The 15,205-nt window shown below is 40.3% G+C and overlaps 1 protein-coding gene across 6 annotated transcripts in view; it reads right to left on the reverse strand.

The window, feature by feature from the left end:
- The window catches only part of LOC124903164 (uncharacterized), a 34,284-nt gene extending 24,828 nt beyond the window's left edge, over window positions 1–9,456 (reverse strand). For 2 of the 6 annotated variants that reach the window (XR_007063769.1, XR_007063771.1), the window contains exons 1-3: window positions 9,192–9,456; window positions 7,088–7,348; window positions 5,277–5,420 (exon numbers count right to left, since the gene is read on the reverse strand). Coding sequence is in view for 1 of the 6 variants with exons in the window: in XM_047430822.1 (XP_047286778.1) it covers window positions 5,277–5,406 (130 nt within the window). In the remaining 5 variants the exon portion in view is untranslated. Of the gene's footprint in view, window positions 1–1,254; window positions 6,742–7,087; window positions 7,349–9,191 lie in introns of those variants that run through there. The other 4 variants (XR_007063770.1, XR_007063767.1, XR_007063768.1 and 1 more) reach the window with 4 other exon arrangements.
- Window positions 9,457–15,205: the final 5,749 nt, after the last annotated feature.

The following is a 15,205-nucleotide window of genomic DNA, read 5'->3' on the forward strand; positions in this document are numbered from 1 at the left end:
ATCACTTTCATAGGCACACTAATCTTTAATAAGTCATCTCCTAAAGGACCCACCTCTTAATAGTGTTGCACTGGGGACTTCCAGCATGAATTTGGAGAGTCACAAACATCAAACCATAGTACACATATATGAACAAATATATATTCTCTGTCTGTCTCTCCCCTCACTCTTTACTCTCCAACAAATATGATACCATATTAGTCATATTCTTTTGCAAAGAATTCTTTTTATTTTTTCACTCAACAATATATGTTGGTGATCATTTATTAGCACAGACAGACCTACCTCAATATTTTAATGGTTGCATAACATATCATTCCATTATCCTTCCAAAGACCCAGATATGACCTCTCTCTTGCTTTAGGCTAGTTAGGGTATTTCCAATCTTTTGGAATTATAAAATGCTGCAATTAACATCCTTTTACATGTATAATTTCAAACATATAGGAGAAGTTCCCATAGAATCAAAGAGTATTTGATGTGAAATTTTGAAAGATATTGACAAATTATTATTGAAAATGGCTGTGTCCTTTCATTTCTCCATTAGCACTATTTGAGAGTGTCTTGGTAAGAGAGTGTGTTATCAATTTTTTCTATTTGTCAATCCAATGGGTTAAAAATGGTTTCTTTGTGTATTTTGTAAGTTGAGTGCTTTTTCAAATGTTTAGAGTTAATATAGTTTTTTTTTCTATGAATTATCAAGATACTATGGCCATTATCCTACAGAGATAGACCATGAAAGAAAGATAAAAGCTTTTCCCCTGCTTTTGGAACAAAGGGATCCCACATTTTCATTTTGCCCTGAGCCTAAAAATTATATAGTCAGCCCTGGCTATTCTCAACCATATGCAGTATACTTTTGTTATTTTTTGATCTTTATATAAACCATAGTATGTGTATCCTGCATCTTGCTTTTTCATTAATTTTTTGTTTGCGGGCTTCAACCGTGTTAATGGTTGTAATAGTAGCTAAGCACACATAATGGTTCTATGAATATACTTGTACATATCTCTGGGTGCCCCTGTTCAAGGGTATTTTTAGGGATTGTGTGTACACATAAGCATGTGCATTTTGTGTGTGTGTGTGTGTGAGATTTCCTGGTCATAGGATATGCATATTTTTACTTTACTATGACCAAATTGTTATACAGAGTGGTTGTAGAAAGCTACATAGCATATATATATATATATATATATATATATATATATATATATATATATATATATATACAGTTTGTTTTGCAGTGATCTCCATCCTTACCAACATTTTAGTATAAAACTTTAACTTATTGTGGTTTTATCTTGCAACATCTTCATTATTTAAAAGGTTGAACATTTTTCATTTATTTAATAGCTATTTGGGCTGACTCTTCTGTGAAGTGTTTATTCCTATGTTTTACCACTGCTTTTGGGGGAGGCAGACTTTTCCTTTTTGCTTATCTTTGCATTTAGGAATCTTTTGATTAAGAAGTGTTATTAATTTTAACTCAGTTAACTTTCTTATCTTTTCATTTATATTTGTGCTTTTCGGGTCTTGTTTTCATCATTTTTTTCCTGCTCCAAGATCATAGAAATATTCTATATTTTTCCCCAAAGTCTTAAGTTTGTGGTTTCCATATCTAAATCTTTTTCCCTTTTATTTATTTTTGTGTATTCTTTTTTGTGTTGTTGTTGTCCATATAGAAAACAAATGATCATAGCATCATTTATTGAGCAACCCATTCTTACTGATCCGCAGTGACATTCCAGTTATATACTAGATTTCATTTTATGTGTGGGCTTGTTTCTACACGCTCTGTGCTGATCCACTGGTCTATCCTATGTTCCTGTGCCATATTATGCTCTCTTAATTAATCAAAGCTTTATTATATACACAGGGCAATGAAAACTGGCAAAACAGCTCGCCTCATCCTGTTCATCCTCTACAGGGGTGTTTCAGCTATTCTTGTGCTTCATTTTTCCATAAAAATTTTAGAATCTGCTTATCAAGTTCTGCAAACAGCTCTGGATTGAATTTGAAAGGAATTGCATTTTATTTATAGAGCAATTTGAAGAGAATGACCAAACTTTTAATATATTGTGTCCTTCTATCACAAATATTATATGTATACAAAATAAATATAAGGCCAGGTGTGGTGGCTCATGCTTGTAATCCCAGCATTTTGGGAGGCCAAGGTGAACAGATCACTTGAGCCCAGGAGTTCGAGACCAACCTGGGCAACATAGTGAGACCTCATCTCAAAAAAAAATAATAATAATAAATAAATAAATAGATAAATAATATATGCATTTATTTACGTTTACTTTAATGTATTTTAATAACATATATAATTTCAAAGAAGTCTTGCACAAATTTTGTTAGATTTATTCCTGGATGTATTATGATTTTGTTGGTATTTTAGGTGCTCTGTTTTGTTAAATTATGTCCATATTCTTGAGGAGTTTCTATATAAACAATCATATTACCTGCAAATAACCAAAGCTTAGTATTTCCTTTTATAATTCCTACATTTTATTTTTCCTTATCTTACTGCACAATGTTGAATCAAAGGCATCACTGTTGTTTTTTATTTTAAAGGGAGTAAGGTTAATTTTTTATTAGTAAGTATGGTTTGCGCTACAAATTTTTGGTAGGTACTCTTTTTAAAATAGCAATCATCACAGAGTAAGTTATATTGTGATAGCAAACAACATCCAGATCATGGGGGCTTACTGCAACAAAGATGTCTATTTGGTTTTATAACATGGAAACTGAGCTGGCCTCTACTCTGTTCCATTTCTGCTCCACATGCTTTTTTATTCTGGGATGGAAGTTGAAAAAGTAACATTTATTTAGGAGTGAGACCCTTGAGGAGGGGATGTGGGAGAAGAGTGTATTAGCTCTTAAAGCCTCTTTCAAGACTTAATAGACATCATTTCTGCTTTCCTGCTACTCCTGGCAGAGCAAGTCACATGGCCCAGGCTGGATGTCAGCCAACCAGGAAGTACACTTCTCTCATAGCGGGGAGGTGTGTAAAAACATTTGGGAACAATAATTCCTTGCTCCTTCTATTAAGAAGAACTATTATTTTAGTATGAGGTCTTTGGAGAGCTAGGAGACCACATATGTTTAAAGTTTATCTAATAGTATTGAAATAATTATTTAATTTGTTAATTTCATGAACTAAACTAGATTTTTTAATACAAAATATATTTTGCATTTATAGGATGATGCAAATTTATCATGGTGTGTTATATTTTTCACATATTCTTGGATTCAGTTTGCCAATATTTTTAAAGGATTTTTGCATTTATGTTCATGAGTAAATCATTTTTCCTGTCTCGAATTATCTCTATGTGAATTTCATATTGTGTTTATATTTATCTCACATATTTGCTAAGGAGTTTTTCTTTTTCTTTTTTTATTATCTGAAAGAATTTGTATAAGATTTGAATGAACTATTAACTATTCCTTGAATGTTTGGTGTAATTCTTATAAAACTATCCAAGCCTGGGCTTTTCTTTGTAAAAGTATTTTTAACTACTGACCTAATTTTTTAGTGGCTACTGAGACTGCTGGCTGGCTGGATACATCAAGATGTCATTTCTGACTTGGCCCTTTTCAGAGTATCTTCTTGTAAATAGACATATCTCAGAGACAACTACGGAATGATGTGGACAGGAAGGAAGAAGTTTTCAGACATGTGGTAGAACTGGGCAAGTTCTGAGCTCAGTTCTGGACAAAGCACAAGCAGGTACCAGGTCCTAGAGCGATGCCTCATCTACAATGGTCTCCTGATTAATCTGGACACCTGTGTATTGCAAAAAAACATGATAATACATAGATTGAAAAATAACAAGATGTGATTAGGAAATCACTTTTAAATACCTAAATTGGGAGATGCTATGAGGATAAAATATGCATATTCTATGCAAAGCAGAAAACCCAAAATGCCCTGGTTCACTAATTAAGCTATTTTTCTACTTTCTCATCCCTTTCCTTTCTAACTGTGGGGTGACTCCTGGCAAGATCTGCCCTCCACTGCCGGCTTCTGCACAAAGTTGAGAAATCAATATTATAATCATGCACTGTTTCCATAGCAAGTGCTCCTGCAGCTCTGAGCAAAACAGCACTTTCTAGACCCTGCCAGAGTATATGTGGCAAAGAAAGATTAATTAGCCACTCACTAATTGACAGTATTTCCCTCTACATCTGCTTGGGCCTGATGTGAGTTTAAATGTCTCTATTAAGTGCCTGAAGCTGATTGCACATGTATAAAATTTAATGTCCCTTCTCAAACCTCAGAGATGTCTGAGACCTCAGTTCCGTCTCTAAACAGTAGAGATGTGGGCAAAAGGCTTAGCGTGGACGGCAATTCTGGAGAGGCAACAGAGAACAGTTAGGTTAGGGGTTGGGGTCAGGCAGAAGTGCAGTAGGGTGGAGTGGGAGAGCTGAGGTGTAGCTCTAGTTCTTCAATAACCTGCCACGTGGCTGGCAAACCACGCTGCTTCTGTGGACTTCTCTTCTCGTTCAGGTGTTAGATTCTACCAGTGCTTTTCTAACTGTGTTTCCCAGAGCCCAAGAGAATCCAGGGTCCCCTTAAGGAAATTCTAGACTCTAAAGTGAGGCTGTTCAACAGAACTTCTGTCCAACAGAGCTTTCTGCAATGATGGAAATGTTCGATATCCACGCTGCCTGATGGGTAACCACTCATCACTTATGGCTATTGGGTCCTAGAATTGTGTATAATGTGTGTGAGAAACTGAATTTAAAAGATTTTTAACTCACATAGAGCTATCTTACTTTAAATTAATTAAAATTAAATAAAATATAAAACAAGAGTGGCTACCATATTGGACTGTGTGGCTCTGGAGGGTCTGGGCTCAGGCCTAAGTGAACAGCGTCCAGGGCTTAACTGAAAGCTGCAGTGATGTTATTTTAAAGAAAATCCTAAAGAGGAAGCAGAATCATTCATGAGGCTACTCCCACCCACCTCTTTAGCCTGTGAGTATCTCTATCTCCAAAGCCTACTGCTGCTTCAACCAGACACATCTGCCTTTGCTTGCAAAAATGTGCTTCTGAAATAGTTTTCCCTGAGCAAAAGGACATTTGCAGCTAAAGGACAGCTAAAAGACATTTGCAAACCACTGGATTAAATAATCTCCAAAGTTCTTGAACATTGAAAGATTCAAATCCCCTAGTCCTAATCTCCCTTTGTATACAGCAGGGACCAAACACACATTCCTGGATGTGGCATGGGAGAGGGCGGCCTTCCCTGTGGTCCCACCCCACTTTACCTGGCATGGGGGAGATGCCAGTGTCACTGATGTAGTGTCCAAGCTGAAGAGGATCCCGGCTTCTCCGACAGGGCAGAGGCCTTCCATGATGCTCGCAGCTGCTCCCCCGGAACTGCTCATGGCTCTTCATAGTTTCTGCTCACTCTACACACTCAGACCATAGAAAGAAAACAGTCCACAGGCCAGAAAAAATCTGAATGCATTTCTCAGCCCAAGTCTCTTTTCCCATACAGGTGAGAAGGAGAGACCAAGGATCACCGAAGGAGTGATGTTCAGGGCTCTGCCACAGCTGCCTGGGGACGCGGGGAGGCTCTGAGGCCAGGGGCCCCACCACCATGGCCCTTTAGGGACAGTTGCTCCAGGGGTTAGGCAGGGATGGTGATGAAGTGTGGGGGAGGGTGGTCAAAGCAGGCAGCATGAGTTGCTCCTGTCCTTGCATTGAGATATCAATGCCATCTATGAGATAGAAATCTCACCTAGAAAAATACTTTTGGAAAATGATGGGGAAATGAGATTTAGAGCATTTCACATCTCAGAACCACTTACACAATCTACAAACTACATGATGGAAAGCCTGCCTTGTAGGAAGTGCCAATCTCTGTCTGTGACTGTTGGAGAGAAGGGAGGGAAAGATTTTATAGCTCTTAGAGGCGTCTTGCAGGTGAGGGGTTGTAGGGAAAGCATGGATAACTTCTCAGACAGGCCAATGCTCACATGGTTCCTTCCATTACACTTCCTCAGTCTCCCTTCAAAGGGCCACCCCCAAAGGTAAGTAACCCTCAGCAGCCCTCCAGAAAGCTTTTGTAAAAGGAAATGGCTTTGATTTTTCATCTTTCTCAACCACACTGAAACAAACAGTGTGGCCTGTTGAAGTTTAAGACAATATTTTAACCAAAGAATACAACTGAGAGAACCATACTATTGTATAAATTTTCCCAACCTCTCATTCTCACTTGCAGCTGAAATTGTTGACAGGAGTTTTGTCTTTTGCCATGTGCTTTGAGGGGATTTGAGGAAAACAGTGTGGCATTATGGGGAGGACTTGTCACAAGAGTATCATTTGCTATAGTTTTCTTGGCTTTATCACATTTCTGGTTGTCTCTTCTTATGGCTCAAACATGTTAAGTCACTTTCACCAAGCAAAATAATTAACAAAATACGAATCTTAAGACACTAAATTGCAATAGTGAGCATGGACACTTCCTTCTCTCCTGCCCTCTGGGCCTCTCTCATGTAACACAGCCACCATCTACATCTCTGTTACACACACAGAAAGCAAACAGCCACCCTTCTCATTCCTCTCGTTCCACCAATATGAATATTCTTTACAACCAGTTAAGCAGAAACAGAAGGTCTGAGACCTGCAGCTACCCTGTTGTTTGGTTAGAAAGACCATCTGGCTGGGCACGGTGACTCACACCTGTAATCCCAGCACTTTGGGAGGCCGAGGCGGGGGGATCACTTGAGGTCAGGAGTTTGAGACCAGCCTGGCCAACATGACGAAGTCTCATTTCTACTAAAAATACAAACATGAGCTGGGCATGGTGGTGGGCGCCTATAGTCCCAGCTACTCAGGAGGCTGAGGCAGGAGAATCGCTTAAACCCGGGAGGCAGAGGTTGCAGTCAGCCTGAATTGCAGCACTGCACTCCAGCCTGGGCAACAGAGTGAGACTCTGTCAAAAAAAAGAAAAGAAAAGAAAGAAAGACAGAGCGAGAGACAGAGAAAGAAAGAAAAGAAAGAAAGAAAGAGAAAAAAAGAGAGAGGAAACAAGGAAAAGAAAGAGAAAAAGAAAGACCATCCGCAGTCTTACCAACTTGCTTTCCACCTCTTTATCCATCCACCAGCCACTGAGGATGGTAGTGAGTTTCCTCAGGGTTTTCCTTCAGAAACAAAAGTTGATCAGATGGCTCCCCGTCAATCACTGATGCCAGGCACTATCGCTGCAGAGGTCTCTGTCAAGACTCTCCCAAGAGCAGCTGCCTTCAGTTGAGCACCATTTCCCTCCCCAACTTTTGGGGCAAGTTTGGCTGGCATGTCATCTGTTCAGTGTGTGTCTCCACTCAGCTTGAGTCTGTAGGGTAACAATAACATTTCCTCGTTCAGTTAGCCAGTTACCTCCAGAAATGAAAGTAACTGAAACTGGAACTGGAACTGCAGTGATGTTATTTAAAGAAATTCCTGGGCCGGGTGCTGTGGCTCATTCCTGTAATCCCAACACTTTGGGAGGCCGAGGCGGGCGGATCACGAGGTCAGGAGATCGAGATCATCCTGGCCAACATGATGAAACCTTGTCGCTACTAAAAATCCAAAAAATTCGCTGGGCGCGATGGCAGGCACCTGTAGTCCCAGCTACTCGGAAGGCTGAGGCAGGAGAATCACTTGAACCTGGGAGGCAGAGATTGCAGTGAGCCGAGATCGCGCCATTGCGCTCTAGCCTGGGCGAGAGAACAAGATTCCGACAAAAAAAAAAAAAAAAAAAAAAAAAAAATCCTAAAGAGGAAGTAGAATCAAGCATGAGCCTACTCCCACCCACCTCTTCAGCCTGTGAGTATCTCTATCTCTAAAGCCTAGCACAGGCTCTGATTCATGGCAAATGAATGAATGAATGAATGCTCTAAGCTGTACACAGCTGGAAAGTAAGGCAATATTTTCAAATTAGATGCTGAAAACATATTGGCATAGCTCCTTTCTTTCCCCTTATTTTTAGTTTTTGGCCTAGGTCATAATTAAGTTAAAGATTTCTTCCAGGGGTGACTTCTCAAGTACAATAAAATAGGCAGACTTTGTCTACAGTGCCCCGTCCTTGCATTCAGCAGCTCCATGGTTGTTCATACAGGACTGGGAGATGCTATTTTCTGCCTAAAAGATTGGGATGGGAAAGGCCAGGTTGTGAAGGGAGGCATCTCCACAGTGAGAACTCCTGCAGGCTCCTGTGCTCAGTAACTGTGTTGGCTGCTTTGGGGGCTGCTCCTGTTGGTGGCTCAGTATGAGAGGCCTGGTTCCTGATGGCAATGTGCAAGGTTAGGCTGTTGAGCTCATCAGTTAATAGCTACGTGCCCTGTAGAAGCTGCACCCTCAGCATGTCCATCCTGCTGCTGTTTGAAATCCCATATGCCAAAGCAAGGGCAGTGTCCATCTTGTTTCCAAGCTCATTATTCCTAAAAGATGCAGGATAATTGCCCAGTCTACCAAGCAATGATTTCAGATGATTGCAAGTCAAAATCTCCGCCAGAACCTTCAAACATCCTGCAATAATAATTACATGTCAACTCCGGGGTTACCCTCTAAAGATTCTCCTTTTGTAGTGTGAATATCTCTTTATTATGGGCTGGAACCGATAATAAATTCATCATATGGAGCTAGGTCACAACTAAGTAAGAGCAGTTTAGAACTGAAGAGTCCACACGGCTCACTGCCTTCCCCTGTGCCGTTGACTGCTGGTTTAATAAATCCAACTCATCAGGTAGGTCTTATTTCTGAGAAAAGACTGTGAACACTTCCCACTGGACTAGGGACACCTCTTTATGCCCCCTACTCACTAGAGCACTCTTACTCTATTGACTATATAAACCCCTCAGAATCATTTCCTGTGATTGATTGAGAAGATAAAATCAAAAGTTATTGAGATTTTAAAAGGAAAAAAGAAATCTCACTTTAGAAAAATGGAAAACTTATTTTGCTCACATTCCATAAAATTACTTATATTCTCGCAGGACTCAGCAGAGGATTTTGCCTGATACCTGCCTGGAGTCACATGGGATTCACTTTCCCAGTTGTTCACAAGGAGGTGATTAATGATGAGCCTGAAAGTCACCACTCAGGAAGGATGTTCTTTATGACTTTGGCCTACTTTTCTAAAAATGGACTCAAAGGAGTGAGTCTCATTTAAATGCCTGGAAGAGAAAGTAACCTACCTGATTATTGCAGCCCAAAGGACTCGGGAGAGGGAGACTTCATGAGCAGAGGCTGAAGTAGAAGTTTGGATTAAAAACAATGAAAAAGTAGACAAGCAGTGGAACATAAAATTAAAAACACAAAACAAACACAACAAGCATTTGTAAGGAGAACCAGTTAGCAATACACTCTGATGGTAGATGGGTAATGATGTAAATACAAGCTGAATAACCTCCTCACTATGCATCTGTGAGACACAATTAGGAGAGAGGCTCACAATTGAGTAAGGGAAAGAGCTATAGCAACTTGTAATTAAGCAAAAACAAGCTGCTCAGGAGGCGTCACTAGGCTACGGTTTGTTGTTCTAACACTCACCACCACATAGCACATGCTTTTCTATTTTGCAGAATGCCATTCCATTGACAAGATGTATATAGTTTGTTTTCACAGAGGTCTGTCCTTGCCCTTTCCATGGAAGCAATACTTCTTCTATGATTACTTAGCTGTTTGGGACATGTGCAAATGTAAACAAAACTACCACAACACTTCCAAAGGCGTGGCTGACTCACTGGGCAGCCTACTTGTTGCAGGACGTTCCCTGCACCACCCCTCCCATGGAGATGGCTCTCCTGGTGAACTCCTGCCCCCTCCTTCCCACTACTTCATGCCACAGTGTAGGTGTAAGCAACTACAAAATAGGCCTATGCAGACCCCATGTTCTTTAGTCCAACTTTGGCTCCATGTGAGGAAGGGCAGATATGGCAGCCCTTACCCTCCTGCAGCACAAGGACAGCTGGGGAGACAGAGGGAATCTACATGGGACTCCCTAAATTTGCACAGAGCATAATGAAATCCAGAGTGTTGCAGCCAGAAGGAGATATAACAATTCAAAGGAAGAGGAAGTCGATAAGAATGAAAATGACCAAGAAATGCTTTGTGGATTAAATGGAGGCAGCATGGCATAGTGAGTATGTGTGTGGCTTTCAGAGCCAGCCAGATGACCCTCAATGAGTTCATCAGTGTCTCTGAGCTTTGATGCTCTTACCCATTTTTTTTTCAAATAGAAAATATAATACCCATCCCACCACTCCTAAGTATGAAAGGAAATAACTTATGTAATGCACTCAGCAGTGTTTAGCACATTGTAATTACTCAACAAAGGGAACGATTACTCTTACAGAATTTTGGCTGGACCTAGAAATCTAAGATTAGGGTAGATGGATGGTGAAGAGGGTCATATTCCACGCTGGAAATGAAAGTATAATACACAGTTTTTGCACATACATGTGTTCATTCTTACACGTGTGTACACTCAAGAAACACCTTTCTAATGACCAATGATTGGAGGCAGCAAGAAGGAGACCATGAGCCTGTGATGCTGAAGGAATCCTTGAGTAAACTTTCGACAAGGACTCATGAGTAAGGTCAAGGTTAGGAGGTGTTGGGGAAAAAAAGGTCAATAATAAAACACATTCACTATGTTACCCTACTCTATGCACCTTAAATCAGCACAGTAACCTATGAAATTGACATTAAAGGGTAAAAACTCAGGTTGTTTTCCCAATCCATGGAACCCCAGAGATAACTGGCCTCTTTCATCTTGTTACCTGAAGTATCCAATATGACAAAATCAGGAAGAATCATACATAGATTGTGTTTTATTTCTGGGGAAAAAAAATCTTAAGTTTTCTTGAGAAAGCTAACTGGTCTTGTTAAATCATTTCTTTATTCATTCTTTTAATAAGTACTTTATGGATTATCTACTATATAACAAACATGTGCCAGAAACTGAATAGTGAGAAGCAAACTCTGGTCTCTTCCCTTGTGTATTTTAGAGCCCAACTGGCTGCAGACATCAATTAAATGATAATGTAAATATGAATTTATGAATTGTGAAAAGGGCCATGATGGACATGTTACATAGAGAGCTAAGAATATGCATGGGATCTGATCTGGTCAAGGAAATGAGGATGAACATCTTGTGGGCAGAGATCTGAACAATTCAGGGAATTAAATGGGGGATGGGGAAAGTGGTTTAGACTCAGGGAAACATGAGTGGCCTGAGAGAGAAGGGAGCAAGTGTGGTCTGAGAAACTAAAAGATGGCTATGGCTAAGGTGTTATTAGGTTGACGCAAAAGCAATTGTGGTTTTTGTCATTACTTTCAATGCAAAAACTGCAATTGCTTTTGCACCAACTTAACGGAAGCCCAGTGAACAGAGGCAGAAAAAAGCTGAAAGTATGTGCAAGGACCTGGACCATAAGGCTATGTTAGAAATTTGGGACTTTTTTAAGAGCAATAGGAAGCCCATTGAAGTATTTTAAGGTCTCCCAGACTTGCTGGGGAGAATAAATGGAAGAGGAACAAGACTGAAAATGTGAAGACCAAAATGTCAAGAGTCGTGGGGAGTGATGATGCTGGCTACAAAGAGGGTGATGATGCTGAACATAATCAGAAGTGAATAGACTTGAGAGATAGTTAGGATTTGAAATCAGAGAGACATGGGGACAGATTGGTTATTTGGAGGTGCACAAGAAGGTACCAAGATAGAAAACTAGGACAGGCAAGATCAGTGATCTGAGAGGCTGGACAGTCAGAGGAAATCTTGAGGAAACAGGGGACCCAAGATGCTTCCTTGGGTCAGCAGAGATAAGCAAGGCCGGGTGGTGGGGGCTCTCCCTTGCAAGGTTAGGCTGTTGTGCAAGGTTAGGCTGTTGATTCTATCAGTTAATAGCTACATGCCCTGTAGAAGCTAGACCATCAGCATGTCCATCCTGCTGCTGTTTACCATCCCATATGCCAAAGCAAGGGCAGTGTCCCTCTTGTTTCCAAGCTCATTAGTCCTAAAAGTTGCAGGAGAATTGCCCAGTCTACCAAGCAATGATTCCAGACGATTGCAAGTCAAAATCTCTGCCAGAGCTTTCAAACATCTTGTGATAATAATTACATGCCTGGGGTTACCCTCTAAAGATTCTCCTTTTATAGTGTGAATATCTCCTTCTCATGGGCTCCAGATCTAAAGGGAATGTATTGGCTTCTTCTGCCAAGAGGTGGGTGCTTAGGAAGTGCTACCTGGGAGCCCAAAAAAGAGCCTAGCAGTGAGAATATCTGGGCATGTCCCCTAGTGGGAGCAGAGAGAGCTGTTTGGAAGTTCTGAGGAGTGGTGTGGCACCCAGCAGAGCAGCTCCTGGGCATCTAAGAGTTGTTCACTGGAAACACTCAGTGAAGACAGCACAAGGCAGAGGAAGGTCCCAGGCTGGTATGTGCCTCTCAGAACAGAAAAGTGCCTTTTTCTACCCAGGGTCTGTACCTTACCAGGCCTTCTTTTCATCAGCTTTGGTTCTTCAAGTGGGGAGGAGTCACTGAATGCTCCTTGATACCTGCTAGCAGTGATAATTAAAAAAAATATATATATATACAGAGAGAGTTGTATTTGTAAGTTTTCTAAAGCACTAAGTTGGAAAAACTTGCAAGTGGCTGAGGGTTTCCCCAGGTCACTAAGAGCATCTTCAGGACAAGAGCATATTTTCTATACCACTGCATTCAGAGTGTCGAGCATGACTGAATGAATAAATGCAGTCCTGCTTCCAGGTTAGAGTAACAAGTGCATTTCAGAAGACCTCAGGCAAGGAATCAATCAACAGATGAGCTTGGCAAAATTGAAAATATATTTCATTACTGTTTGTGTGTGGGTGTGTGGGGGCGACACTCTAGAGGTCTTGTAAAATAGAATCTTGAAGGCTAATTTTAGCCCCGTTTCCACATCTTGCTAACTTATTTTCCTCTGACATGGAATAAAGCCATGAAGAAGTGCCAACGACTAACACCCAGGGTTTTTATGCTCCTTCATTGGCAGAGGTTGTTTTGCCCTTTGTTGTTGTCAGCTGCCAGAGGAATTGCATCATCAGGTTGATGGCAGTCTTGCCCTGCTGCTCTATTCCTTCCATGACCATGAGAGTAGGGGGCACAGCACCTCAGACGTGGGCTGTTGGAACTGATCTCCCACCACGTAGGGAGTGGGGCCAGGCTTGAAAGTGTTCGGAGGCGTGTGGCAGACCATCCTGTAAAGAAGAGGCTCATTTCCCTTGTTTGTCCTCCAACTTAAACTTCCTTTCCAAGCATTGAATCTTGGCTGCCTCAAATTCCCAGACAACCCAATATACAATACTGCCTATAATTTTGAGTTCAGGTCTCTAGAGGGACAGTTTATATGCTTATAAAGTGTCATTCTTCCAAGCCCTGTCTCCCCCATCAGCTGCATATTTTATAACTCTGCCATCCTTCATTCTGGGTATTTTTGTTCACTTATCAGTCTTCTCTTTCCATGGTCAGCAGGACCATGTGACCCACATAAGTAAACATTTATTAAAAATTCACATGATTAGAAATGCAAATTAAAATGACACTGTATTTTTTTGCCAATCAAGTTGGCAAAGTTTTAAAAATGTTAATACTTAATGTTGTCAAGTTGCCAAGAAAATGGGTACTGTCTTACACTCTTGTCAAGGATATAAATAGCTCAACCCTTCTGGAAGGTAATAGAGCAATTTTATCCTATTGCTCTATTACCTATTGTCTTGAAAATAATACATGTCCTTTGACCCAGCATTTACACATTGAGGGTGTTTGCTAAGTCTCTCAATTTAACTCTCGCAATAATTTCATGAAGTAGTTACTATATTATTGGTACTCACTTACTAATAAGAAAACCGAAACTCAGAAAGGGTAATTTGTTCCAGGTTACACAGTAAATATATGGCCAGAAAGGGACCCAAATACAGATCTCAAATGTGAGACTAAAATCTCAAATGATGCCTACGTCTGTGTTCTTATACTTACTGCAAGAATTATCAATGATTTACTTATCTAATAGGGAATATTGAAAACAACCTGAATATCCAATAATAGTGAGTTGATTTTTTAAATTATAGTGTAACTATACAGATATATATATACAAAAAAGAACATATATTATTTTTAAATGATATTGTAGAAGAATATTTAATGACATAGAAATATGTTCATAATAGATAAGTAAAAAGACAAGGTCATACAACAGAATGTACAATATAATCTCAACTTTATAAAAATATTGGTATACATATGCATAGGAAAAAGACCAGAAGAATAGGCATCAAAAAGTTAATAGTGTTCATCTCTTACTTCTGGAGTTATGAGACTCTCTGCTGTCTTCATCCTTATCTGCATTTTCTGCATTTTGTATAACATATGCATATTTTCTGTAAGGAAAGTAAATTACTAAACATGATTTAGGGCCAGACCCAGGGGCTCAAGCCTAAAATCCCAGCACTTTAGGAGGCCAAGGTTGGAGGATCACGTTAGCCCAGGAGTTCGAGGCTGCTGTGAGCACTCCAGCCTGGGTGACAGGATGAAACCCTGTCTCTAAAATATAAAAATTTTTAAAAAGATTTAAAAGTCTTGAAAATCCACGTCTACCCCTCCACCCACATTCCCACCCTTTAGCCTGGATGGACTCCAGACCCATAATAGTAGCCTCCATTTACTACACATTTGCTACTTGCCTGGCCAGTAAGCTTTTAGGGGAAAATTTATGTACTTCTCACTATCAACAATTTTAGGCCTATGTCACAAATAAGAAAGCTGAGGGCTCCATGACATTATACAACTTGTCAAAGGTGGCACAGTTCATAAGTGGCAGAGCTGGGACTCCAGCCCTATCATCTGATTCCAGAGCCTATAGAGCGGTGGTTGAGAGCAAGGGCCCTGTAGCAAGCGGGCTTGGGCTCAGATTCTGACTGAGTCACTTGCTAGCTATGAGGAGTTCTTTCCTCTTGGTACTTCAATTGCTTCTTTTGTAAATTTGGAAAATAATGGTGTTTTTCATGTAACAATGAGAATTAAATTAGTTAATTATGTAAGGTGCTTAGAACAGCATATGGTATGTAGTACCTGAAGGGCTATTATCAGTAAAAGGGCCCTACTAGTTAATGCTGGGAGGCAGGATAAAGTGGCTGAGGAAACAGGGAGCCAAGTACATCTGGAACTGCAATCA

The sequence above is a fragment of the Homo sapiens genome, chromosome 13 (genome assembly GCF_000001405.40).
Source record: "Homo sapiens chromosome 13, GRCh38.p14 Primary Assembly".
Classification (NCBI taxonomy): Eukaryota; Metazoa; Chordata; class Mammalia; order Primates; family Hominidae; genus Homo; species Homo sapiens.